The sequence below is a fragment of the Homo sapiens genome, chromosome 4 (genome assembly GCF_000001405.40).
Source record: "Homo sapiens chromosome 4, GRCh38.p14 Primary Assembly".
NCBI lineage: Eukaryota > Metazoa > Chordata > Mammalia > Primates > Hominidae > Homo > Homo sapiens.
Window position 1 is genome coordinate 149,144,688 of NC_000004.12, and position 12,702 is coordinate 149,157,389.

At 37.9% G+C, this 12,702-nt stretch overlaps 2 long non-coding RNA genes across 2 annotated transcripts in view; one reads left to right on the top strand and one right to left on the bottom strand.

Annotated features, from left to right (window-relative positions):
- Positions 1–3,105: 3,105 nt before the first annotated feature.
- Positions 3,106–9,478, bottom strand: LINC02430 (long intergenic non-protein coding RNA 2430). Its single transcript, XR_001741884.2, has 4 exons — positions 9,206–9,478; positions 5,538–5,715; positions 4,862–5,095; positions 3,106–3,358 (listed from the first exon to the last, which is right to left on the bottom strand). It is a non-coding gene; the product is annotated as a long intergenic non-protein coding RNA 2430 (long non-coding RNA).
- A 129-nt stretch (positions 9,479–9,607) lies between these two features.
- LINC02355 (long intergenic non-protein coding RNA 2355) overlaps positions 9,608–12,702 on the top strand; it is a 123,829-nt gene continuing 120,734 nt past the window's right edge. The window contains exons 1-2 of the long non-coding RNA NR_125887.1: positions 9,608–9,932; positions 10,765–11,038. This is a non-coding gene — a long non-coding RNA (long intergenic non-protein coding RNA 2355). The remainder of the gene's footprint in view (positions 9,933–10,764; positions 11,039–12,702) is intronic.

Consider the following 12,702-nt stretch of genomic DNA (forward strand, 5'->3'; position numbering starts at 1 on the left):
ATGAATGCTGTACATATTTAATGTATACAACTTGATGAATTTGGAGATAAATATACACTTGTGAAACCATCACCATCAATCAATGCAATAAACATGTCCATCACCTCCCAAAGTTTCCTCCTGCCCTCCTAATTAATTAATGTGTGTGTTTGCAAATAAGACCATCAGGGAGGCCAATATGGCCGGAAGAATCAGAAAGGTAATGGAGTGAAGGAAAAATCACATAAGATGTTAGGACTATGACTTTTACTGTGACACGAGGAATGACTGGACAGTTTTGAAAAGAAGAGTGACACGATTTAACTTACCTGTAAACATTACTGATGATTGTGAAGAGAGTAGACTGCAGGGGGTGTGGTCGGTGGGAGGGAAGGGTGGAAGCATGGAGATCAGTTGGGGGCAATCTGTGAATGCCCATGAGAGGTGGTTGTGGCTTAGAACAAATGGTAGCAGTTGTGAATAGAAGTGGGTGAGTTGTTGATGTATTCTAAGGTAAGCCAATGGGACTTGCTGCCGATTTGGTTTAGGTTATAAGAAAAAGAAAGTATTTAAAGATTACTAAGACGTTTGAGGCAGAACAACTCGAAAATTGAAGTTGCCATGAACTCAGGTGGGAAAGCATGTTTGGGGGCCGGTGTCTGGACATATTTAACATATTCAGTTTGAGCTGCTTCTTCCACATCCAAGTGAAGAATTCAAGTCAGGAGCTGGATATAGGAATTTAAATTTTGGGGAAGGGTCATGCTGGTAATATGAATTTGGGAATCATCAATATATAGATGATCGCTAAAGACCTGGGTCTGGGTGAGAGTAGGGGATGAATGTAAATAGGAAAGACCATAAAAGAGAAGAGGCTCAAGTTCAAGGCCCCATAAGATATGGGGGAGATAAGGAAGGACTAGTGAGAACCCTGAGAAAATCCAGGAAGGTAGGAAAAATGCCCGGCAATGATTCCTCCTTGTGCTTTTCCATCCCCTGATATGGAGGGGTTGTACATGTTAGCAGTGACAGTCTAGTCCTGGAAAATACAGTGGGGATGATGTTGTTTAGTTCAAATGTGTTTAAAGATGCTGAGAAGTATACCATATGCAGTCCACTGATATTTTTCTTCGATTTGAATTAAGACTTCCTGGCTACAGAACACTAAAAATATATCATGCTGAAAAATGGACACACAGAACACTCTGTGTGTGTGTTTTTCACAGCTTTCCGTGACATTTTAACTAAGTGTGGAGGATATTGTTCTGCTTTTCATTACACTTGGTATGGCTAATGCTGAATGAGTGGGGGTTACAGTCATACCATGTGACAGATGGCTGTGTCATAGGCACACTGCAGGGATGAGCAGAAGGAAATGTGGCTACAAGAGATCAACTCTTGATTCAGCTGCACATAGCGTGGTAGAGTGGGAATGTAAATCAAGAAAGTTACTCATCAAAATAAAGCTTCCCTTCAGGTTGTTTCTTTTTCACCATTACCTCAAAGTATGCATATTTTCTCAGTTCAAGCTATCTCCACCACTATTGGAACAATCAGTTATATTTGCAAAAAATGCCCTTTTCATGTTATTTTGTGGAAAATCTAATTCAACAAAGGTTAATTTTAGTTTGGGAAAAAAACAATTTTCTCAGGAAATCCAATAATGATAGCTGTGAGTGGAAAGGAAGTCTAAGGGAAAGAAATCAAGAGCATAGATTGCTTATGTAAAACTGGATTTAAACTTTGGAAGCCAGATCCATTTGACTGGGGGAAAACACTAAATATCATTGTAAGATAATAGCCTAGATGTGGCCTTTGGTGGGGTTTGCCTTGCTTGTGCCTTGGGAGGTATTGAGTTCTTTTCTCTAGGAATAGCACCTTCCCCTGAGACAGATCGAGGAAGGCAAAAAAAAAACGAAGGCAAACATCAAATGTCTCAGTTCTTCCAATGGTATATAAATCACTGTGCCTGGCTTCTTTAAATAAAAATGTAGAGATGGGTCTTGCTGTGCTGTCCAGCCTGGTCTTGAAGTCCTGGCTTCAAGCAATCCTCCTGCCTCAGCCTCCCAAAGTGCTGGGATTACAGGCATGAGCCACTGCACCTAGCCTTATATGAGTAGTCTTAAGAAGAAAAAAAAAAAACATGTTTTGATAGAAGAAGTGCAAATTTTTAACTAAAATGAGTTTATGGAGATTTTGTGAAGTTACTTGCTCTTGCTTTCTCTGCCCCCACTCTGTACTTGGCAGCCTGCAGACACAAACCAAGGGAGCAAGTGACCACTTAGATGCAGAGGGAAGTGCCTCGCTCTCTGTCATTCTCTCCCTCTTATTGTCTCTTTCTCTGTCTGTCTGTCCATGTGGCTGTTGCTGTGTCTCTCCGACTCTGTTCTGTCTTTCTCCCATGATCTGTTCTCATCTTTCCCCTGAAGTTATCTTATCAACTTTAGAATTAACTGATTTTTTTTCCTAGATGAGATTTTGGATAGAAATGTATAATACGAAACAAGTTATATTACTTGCTTCTCGGGGGGGGTAAAAATACATTTCTTAGGCCTCATTTCATATTCATTCAAGAGAAAAAAATCCCATCTAACTAATTTCTGTTTTGTGCAGTAAACACTTGTTCTAGCGAGTGTGCACAGGATGATGTTTGAATTCTAAGGTTTAGGTATACCAATCTGTGAGATAAAGGATAATAACAAGAACCTCTAAACCTACATTTTCAAAATTCACTTAAATGAGTTTGTGACAAGCATTTTTCATCTTATTCTTAGATATTGCTCTTGATAAATATTAAATAAAATAAGAAAAATTGAGCTAGACTCCTTATAGCCTCCCTTCTTACGGAAATACAATGCCATAAAAGAAAGTCAAGAGTTTTTTAGCTTCATCTGCACTCTTTCAAGCAAAAACAAAGAATTAATAGCAAATTAAAGGAATTAGCAGGGACATCAGACTAACTGCATAGAACCTCTTTTCCTTTTCTTTTTTTTTTTTTGTTTCCTTTTTGTTTTTTAAAGTATTTATTTAATCCTTTGAACTCCATGATAAAATTAGGTCAATGACAGGTGATAGAGTTTAATGATGCGGTCAAAACATCCTAAGGAAATAAAAAGTCAAAAACAATTCAACTTGTGTTCAAGATTTATAGCTACTGACTTTGTGGCATTGAAGAAAAACCCATTAAGCATTTACTGCATCTCTTTTTCTCCCTGGAGGAAAATAAAGTATTTATCTCTGTGTACCATGATTAGAGAATTGTCACCTTTCAAAAACAATGTCTTGTGTCCCCAGAGCAGGAACATAGCAAGCAAATCACACAGCAGTTTCTTCTGAACTTCTTGGGAATCATGTAATCATGCCTTTACTGAAGTATTTCCTGTAAATATGCAGAAGTGCACATTTACTGAATGCCAACAGGTGCCAGACACTGAACTGCACGCTTGCCTTACTTTCAGCATTTCAACAACCTCATGATATGTTTTATTACTGTCATTTTCCAGATAAGCACAAGTTTCAGAAAATTTAAATGATTTCTTGGATGTTACAGTTTGAAAAGCTGTAGAGCCAGGATTAGAACCTAGACCCATTCAACCATGATAAATTATGTAATGTCTAAAATTACTTATATAAATTGATGTGTGTGTGTGTGTGTGTGTGTATGTGTGTGTAGGCAACCAATGAACCAATGCAAGCCAATCAAAGTGGAGGAAGAGAGTATTGTTCTTTAGTCCTAGTGAATGGAAGTGATATTACACTTTCTGAGTTATGTCCTCAATGAAAAATGAGAAAAAAATCTTTTTCTTCTCTCATTGTCCAAACCTATGGACTGGAATGCAGTTATGCTGTTGAGTAATCTTCTACTATGCATATAAGGGCAATTCTTTAGGGACAGGAGAGGAACAAAATTAAAATATTTCAAGCTCTTAAAGCTTTTAAGCCGTCTTCAGAGGCCTGGAGTCTTATTCAAAATATTCCTGAAAATTTAGTTTGGATTTTCATTATATCAGACTATAGCATATTCTACCTAATATAGAGTTGAAGACAGATTAAACATTATTTATCTAAACTACAGTTAAAGGGCTAGAAAAATAATAGAATAAAACTGAAAAAGTGGGAAAAAATAATAAGTGTTAGTTATCTACAAATGTGTAAATTAACAAAAGGTACTCATCTATAAATGAAAACCTAAACAAATCTATAGCAATTAAAGATATTTAATCATTAGAGAAAAAAATCTACATACAAGAAAAGCAACAGGTCTATAGGTTTTAACTGTTGTGTTTTAGAAAGTTATCAAGAAATAGATAACACTTTTCTTATAACACTTCCCCAGGATTTAGAAAAAATGTTAAAGTTTCTCCACTAATTTTATGAAACTAATATGAGATTGCTAATGATGCTGCAAATATAATAGAACCAGGAAAATTATTGGGCCTTATCATTTACGAAATAGATGCCAAAATAACACAAAGATAGTAAACTGATTCCTACTGTGTGTGCATGTGTGTATATGCAAGGTAAAACAATTTCATAACTAAATATGGTTTATTCTGAGAGTAGTAAGAGGATATAAATTTAGAAAACACATTAATGTAATGCACCAAATTGACAATATGAAAAACATTGTATCAATGAATGCAGCACCATTTAATAAAATCCAAAAATCAACATATGAAAGAAAGAATGAACAAAAGTAGTAATAGAAAGTCAATTTCCTAACCTAATTATTACTAAAAAGCAAGCAAATACAGTGATGGCAAACCATTAGAAACATCTCCTACCTTAGTTTTTCCCCCACATATCTGCCTTGAAGCGTAAGTTTAGTCAAATGAATACAAGTTCTATGCTGCAGCTTCCAGGAGTCTTCCATAATACATACCTGGCCCATGATCTTGTTCTTTCTTCTTGTATTCTTCTTTCTTCTTGTTGCTGCTGATGTGCAGGATGCCATGAAACAAGGGATGCCAGGGTGGAAAAGGAATGAGTGTCTAACAACATATGGCACCATATCAGCCCCAAACTGACGGATTCCACTCCTCTTGAAATGTAAGAAAGAGAAACTTCCACTTCGTTTAAGCTGCTGTTACCATGATTGCTTCTTCTCAACACTGTACTAGAAAGTGTTAGCAAATGTAATGAGAGAAGAAAAAGAAATGAGATAGAAACTATCAATAAAGAAATTGATTTTTAAGAATTATATGACTATATACCTAGAAAATCACAGAGATTTAAATTACAAATCAACTAGCTACAATTTCACGTCCATATAGTTTTCAGAAATTAAAAGAGCTGGTAATACCAAGTGTTCATAAAGCAATGGATAAATACAACCCCTTTTATGTTGTTGGTGGAAGTATAAAATTTTTAAAAACTATTATAGGACAATGTGTAGTTAGAATTCTTTTGACTATAGGCATCAAGAACCTTATATAAAACTGACTTAATTACCATGGAAATCTACTGTCACCATTAAAATCAGGCTTATAATGAGCAGCGGCTCTACAAGTCTTCCAGAATCCAGTCCTTTCTAATTCTCATTCTGCCATTCTTAATACCTCAGCTTAGATCACAGACTGGCCTCCTTCTTGGTGTCAGCAACATGGATCTTATCCAGACAGACAATATCCAGAAGAATATAAAATCCCTATCTTCCTGCGACACAGGAGTATGGAAACCATTTCCAGACCTATCTTTGGTGAGCATTGGTTATATGCCTATTCCCAAATCAATTACCTGCAAAGAGAATAGATTAGCATATTAATGGGAACAAGACTTTTAACAGGTAAAATTTAGAGACTAATTCATTAAAAGTAAAAGGATAAAATCATGTATTGTAGAATTATCAAAAAATAATACATAATAATACCAATAAAAGCACTAGGTAACATTTACTGGGATATTACTATATGCCAGGCACTTTCCTAAGCACTTGCCCAATTGGTATTCATTTTTCCATGCAAAGCCCAGTGGGGGTTAGACATTTAAAATGAGACAGCCATTTCACACTATTTCAAATGCGTAAGACTGACAAAAATTAAAATGTCTAGTAACAACTAGTGTTGGTAAATATATGTGTATGAATATATACACACATACATATGACTATATGAACATATGAAATAACAGCCTCATATACTACTTATAAAAGTTTAATGTTTCAGATGAAAAATATTCAAACATGAAGAAGTTAATTTACTTGCCCAAAGTCACAAAACTAGTGAATGGCAGAAACAGGATTTGACCCAGATAGTCTATAAGTAGTTAAAATAAATAACTAGATTCATATGTATCAATGCAGGAAATATGAAAAATATAATCTTGAGTAGATGGTAGCCCTTCACCAGAAAAGGAAATGTATAAAAACAGCATGTTTGTCAAGGGGGAGAGGATTGTTATGAGTTCATTTGGGGGTAGGTTTTATTAAGGATATAGAATATCGGGGGCAATGCCCCACATTCAAATATGCAACTATCCAGGAGGAAACCAGATATAAAGATTCTAAAAAAGGTGTTTGTATCTGGAGAGTTGAGTATTATAATGCAGTGGCTGAAATTGAGCAAGTAGATTTAAAGTGAATGAGCAAGTAGATTTAAAGTGAAAAGAGAGAAGTAGGAAAGAAACAGCATTGACATTCAGGGAGAAATAAGACAGAAAAAGGGCCTATGAGAGAACACAAGAGGGGTTACAGAAGAGATTGGTATCCCAGATAATAACTAAGGGGTGAGATTTACAAAGATTATGGCTAATAATGTCAAATGAGGCAGAGAGTGGTGAAAACACTTGGCAATTAGTGTATCAGTGAAGACCTTTCTGAAACCACTTTCAAATGCAGTTACAGTTAGAAGCCTGCATCATTGCCTTAAAAGTTCATAGGGTACGAGTAGGGGGATATGTGAAATGCAGACTATTTTTCAGAGAGGCATGATTGGTGAATTAAAAATGAATATTAGAGCATTAGCTAGAGAGAATTAAGAGTTTTGTTGTTGCTGTTGTTTTCTTTTATTTTGTTTTGATTTTGAGACGAAGTCTTGCTCTTGTTGCTCAGGCTGGAGTGCAATGGCGCAATCTCGGTTCACTGCAACCTCCACCTTCCGGGATCAAGCAATTCTCCTGCCTCAAGAGGCTGGGATTACAGGTGCCTGACACCACGCCTGGCTAATTTTTTGTATTTTTAGTAGAGACGGAGTTTCATCATGTTGGCCAGGCTGGTCTCGAACTCCTGACCTCTGGCGATCTGCCTGCTTTGGCCTCCCAAAGTGCTGGGATTACAGGCATGAGCCACCACACCCAACCGGGAGTGAAGAGTTCTATAGAAAAACATGGTAATATTTTCAGCTTGTGTGAAACAGTCAGTAGAGGAAGAGATTTAAAATACTGGGGTGATGGGAAAGAGTAGGACTTATAGGAGCAACATCTGGGAGAAGATGGGAAGCAGTAGATCAGGCACACAGGTGGAGAACTTAGCCTTGAACGTGAGAAATAATGAGGAAGAGAACAAGGGATCTCCCAGATGAGAGGGGAGACAGATGGAACACAGAAAGGAGAGCAATGAGTTTTATCCTGCTGTGTTTCCAATCAGATTTTCCCCGAAGGGATACTTGGCCAGGAAAACAGGAAACAGACAGGTGGTCTAAGGTCTGTAGGGTAAAGTTAATATATAGTTGCTTGATTATCCAGTCGAATTGTAGGACCAAAGAAGAAAAAGGAGTAGATTAAAAGCAATTACTGCAAATTTATGAATCACATCAGTTGTCCAGACACAAGTCTGACCTAAATCTTTCCCTCCCTTAGTGAATGGATCTGGAGTACTCCCTATATGGAGGCCATTCTAAACTCAGCACCAACAAACTAGACCAGAAAAGAGTGAAAGGAAAGTCCCCCAGGATGTCAGTACCAAAAGCCAGCTAATGATCATCTACACAAACCCTCTTTCACAGAGGAGAAAAGCAAATCTCACTAGGGTACACAACAGCCCACTATCACTGAATTATGGATTGGTGATGACTATGCTTCCTTTTTATCCCTTTAGCACTTATGAACTTCTAACACATTCAATATTTTTCTTCTTTAATTCATTTATTACCTCCTCCCATGAGAATGCGATCGCCCTCAGAAGGATTTTTGTCTCTTTTACTTACTGTTGTTACCTCAGCCTTCAACGTATGTCTGGCATTTAGAATGCACTTGATCATTATTTGCTGAATGAATGAATTACATCTTCTCCACTATACTTTTTACTTCCCTATTATACGTTCCATGCAGAGCTCTTAGAAGTGAAGTTGATAGTTGTAAAAACCACTTCCATGCAAATACATTTTTCATAAACTCTGCTACCTTATTGGGTACATAAAACCCCAAGGTTGTACAGAATTCAAATCTAGGACTGTCTGGCTTCAGAGTCATATATTGGATGAATTCGACCCATTCAGTTAGTTTTCTCTGAAAAGAAAACTAAAGAAATTTTTGTGACAATAACAAAACAATGACTTTTTCTTAAAAAAGTAGGAAAGATAAAAAAGAAGGAAAATGGAATCAGTATTATAGGAAAAACTCTATAGAGTTTACACAGCAGTGAGCTTCCTGATGTATTTTTTCATATATCTACATTTATATCTTTATCCACACTGTTATGTCTATGTTATAATACTCAAGAGAAATATGGTGGAAAGAATTCACTGGGCCTGTTGCTAGGTGAGTGTTAAGAAAATTGCAACTTCGTATGACCCTTCATCTGCTGTAGGAGATTCTCTATTTTTCTCTTTTTGTGTGAAAAAAGATGAGGATGAAAGACTATGGAGTTGGTAGCTACAAAGAAGAGAGTTGGTAGTTCCTAGGTGTATGAGAGAGGCTTTTCCTACTCTCTCTGAAGTGCAATCTATTTTTTTCAGGAGTCATTTCCAGGGAAGGGAAGGAACAACACACTGAATGAGGACATGTCCACCTCAGGGGAGCCAGGTACAACCACAGAAGCAGCTTATGTAACAAAGGGTTCATTTGTGGAATTAGTTAAGGAATCAAGTTTTATATTTGTAAGAGATGCAAGTGAGCATTTAAAGATTCACATTGCCTGGGACTTTCCAGTATCATTTTGCAACCCAGATCCTTAATGGCAAATGTATAGATTAGTAGTGTGTGTGAGAAATTTTATACATGTAATAAGACGTCAAATAGGATATGTATTTCTAAAGTTGCTGTTATGATCCAAAACCAAGAACCAATGTACCTCATGTTCTATGTTCGGGGACCCCATCATCTTCCTAGCAGGGATTACGGGGAAGAACCTGTTTAGAAAATGTGTATCCAACAACTCCTTCCACTTGGTGGCATCATCCCGATCAAAGCAAGAGGAAGGCTGACTGGGGAGAGAGGCATTAAGATTTGGGGAGAGAGTTGAGTTTGGGTATGAAATGAAAGTACGGTTTCTCCCCTTTTAATGAAAAGGGGGAAACCTCTAAGAGAATCCCATAAAGATTGACAGGCCCTGCAAGAGGAACCTGGCCGAATGTGCGCTGAGCAGTAGAACACAAAGCTTCTCTTTTGTGCCATCACTAATGCTGAGTACAGTCATAAAGAGTGGGTTCTGGAAGAGCATTGAGAGTCCGAAGTGTAGAACTTTATCCTTTTCAGTATCCTTCTTCCACCAGGAGGAAGAAGAACTGTGTCTCTGAAGTTTGGGAAGTATACGTAGACATGGAGTCTGGCCTTGAGCTTTCTGTAGTAGAAAGGCCCATGTCAGCAGCCCTTAAAGGGACAGGGTGAGGTGTACTCGGGGGAAAGATGGTAGTAACCATACTCCTCCCAATTTTCCGTGATACACCACAGTGTAAAAGAGGACCCCAGTGGTTTCCACGGCTACACAGAAAATTCATGGAGGGTAGCAGAAGAAGATGAGCCATGGAGCTGCCAGGTGGCTGCCAGTCCAATCTTTTAAGGTTCAATTTAGGGAAAAGGTAATGATGCCTAATCTTCTGTAAAAGGAAAACTCCCCTGTGGGGGTACCTGTAAGTATGTGGGTAAAGGCCAGCTGACAGAATGTCAGAGAAAATGTCATGCTCCCATATGACATGAAGGGAAATACTCATTTTCTTCTCAAGCCCTAATCAGCAAGTATCTCAATTTTCTTACTTTCTTTTCATCAAAATAGGAGAAGGATATGACTTTCTTTGTTGTTATCATAAGTGAGAAAAGATACAGAATTCAGAAAAAAATAGCCAGAGAGTACCAAATGCCTAAGGAAGAGAGAGATTAAGTAGAGTTTTGGGATCAACAAAAATAAATAAGGAATTCTCAGAATACTAAGCAATTAATGGTAGAAATCTTTAAAAAATTTTTTTGGATAAAATAAAGCTCCTAAGGAACACTGTTGAATAAAGGCTTGGTACATAAGCAGAGAATCAGGATCATTTATAAATAATAACAAAGACTCAGATACAAGTAAGCAGCAACCCACAGCAGATAAGTGTGAGAAAATCATGGTGTAGGAAACACCAAATAGAGTTAGGAGAATTGGGATAATGCAAGAAGAGAAATCAGGCCAGGACCTATGGTACATTATATTTTCCAAGGATGGACACCACAGTATACTTCATCCCCCATGCTCCATTTACAATGGCATTGACCATCCTTCCATCAAGTAGTGGGATCCCTGTCCCTAGCACCCACCTCCCCTAGGACCCAGGCAGACCTTTATGACTGCTTTGCTCAATAGAATACAGTAGAAGTAATGCTTTGTAACTTCCAAGGCTAGGTTATAAAAAATTCTGTTCAACCTTGCTCTCTTAGGACTTTTTCTCAGTAAGCCCTGATACCTTGATGTGAGAAGGCCAAGAAGAAGCCTATAGAGATGCCCACAAGAGGAGACTAAAGCTGAGAGAAACTGAGGCCCCTGGCCCTAGAGCTTTCACTGAGCTCCAGCTGACAACCATCATCAAATCACCAGCCATGTGACTGTGCCATGATGGGAGGGAATCACCCAGTGTCCAAATGATCTGATGCCACATGTAAAAGAGAAGAGCCTTCCCCTTTGAGCCCTGCCCAGATTGCTACTCTGCACCAAGTAAGTGGTGGCTGTTATCTTAAGCCACTAGCATTTAAGATTTTATTTTTTTGGGTGCAGGGTGGGAGTTGGTGTGACATAGCAATTGATGACCAGGATAGAACCAAAAAGGGATTATTTACTTAGCCAGAGTTACTTAAGAGAGTTCTGCTGTTCCTTTGGCCAAGAAATTGAACATTTTTATTAGTACTACATTTTGTATTATGTGAGTTCTCCATGATATGTTACCTCCTTAATAAACTATGTGTAGAGCATTTTCACTTCATTGTGTAGTTCAGGTCGTCTCTTTAATCCTCTCAGTAGTCTTTATTAAATTTCGAATTAAAGAACAGTTTAGTTTTAGTTCACTGTATGGAATGGTCAACTTCAAATAACAACAGTGATCGAGAGCCTGTTGTTCAAAAGTGGTATGGCATGTGAGCAACACTTTTTACAAAATTCTCATTTGCCTGGGCTATGTTTTGACTAAGTGAGTGGCATACCAAAGTTGTTAAGAACTGATATGTGGGCGAAATGACACTGCCTGAAATTTCTTTCCCAAAGCAGAGTGGTACATTTACAAGAAGTATAATCCAGAATCTTTCATGTAACAATAATTAGTATGAGGATGCATTAAGTTTGTGTATGTAAAATATGCATAGCACATACATTATTCACTTACCAGTAGGTCAGCAAAGAATTATTAAATGCAACTGTGCTCCAATATAGAACTAGACCTAGGAGATATAGCAGGGAACAAAACACAGTGGCCCCTGATAGGACACTCAGATGATAAACGGATATATACAACTCAGAATGTTGAGAAGTATACAAAAAAATGAAACTGGTAAACAGGATAGCATATCAAGGTAGGGTGAGGGTGGGTAGGCAAGGCTGCTATTTCATATCAGATGTTCAGGGAAAACCATCTCTGGTATGATAACCTTTGAACCTACATCTTCTGGAAGGAAGAGCAAATGAAGTAGCTACCTAGGAGAAGGGCATTTCAGGTAAGCAGAACTGCAAGTGTAAATACCAAGAGTAATGTTAACGTGTTGGAGGGACAGCAAAGACATCAGTGTTGTTGATGAAGGATAAGACACACAAAGAAATCAGTGTGTCTTTGAAGGATAAAAAGTACCGAAGGCAGGAAGCAGATCACGTACACATGTAGACTATTGTAGAGGCCGTTGAAGAGATTTTAGCTTTTATTGAGTAATTATAAATATTCATATATGTCATGGACTGAATGTTTGTGTATCTTCAAATTCATATGTTAAACCCCTGTATTAGTCTGTTCTCATGCTGCTTTGAAGAAGTATCAGGGACTGGGTAATTTATAAAGAAAAGAGGGTTAATTGACTCACAGTTCTGTATGGCTGGAGAGGCTTCAGGAAACTTACAATCATAGCAGAAGGCACCTCTTCACATGGCAGCAGGGGAGAGAATGAGTGTCAGCAGGGGAAATGCCAGAGGCTTATAAAACCATCAGATCTTGTGAGAACTCTCTTACTATCATGAAAACAGAATGGAGGAACTGTCCTCATGATCCAATTACCTCCCACTGGGTGCCTCCCACAACACATGGGGATTATTACAATTCAAGATTAGATTTGGGTGGGGACACAGAGCCAAACCATATCAACCCCTAACTCCCGACGTGATGATATTTGGAGATGAGGCCT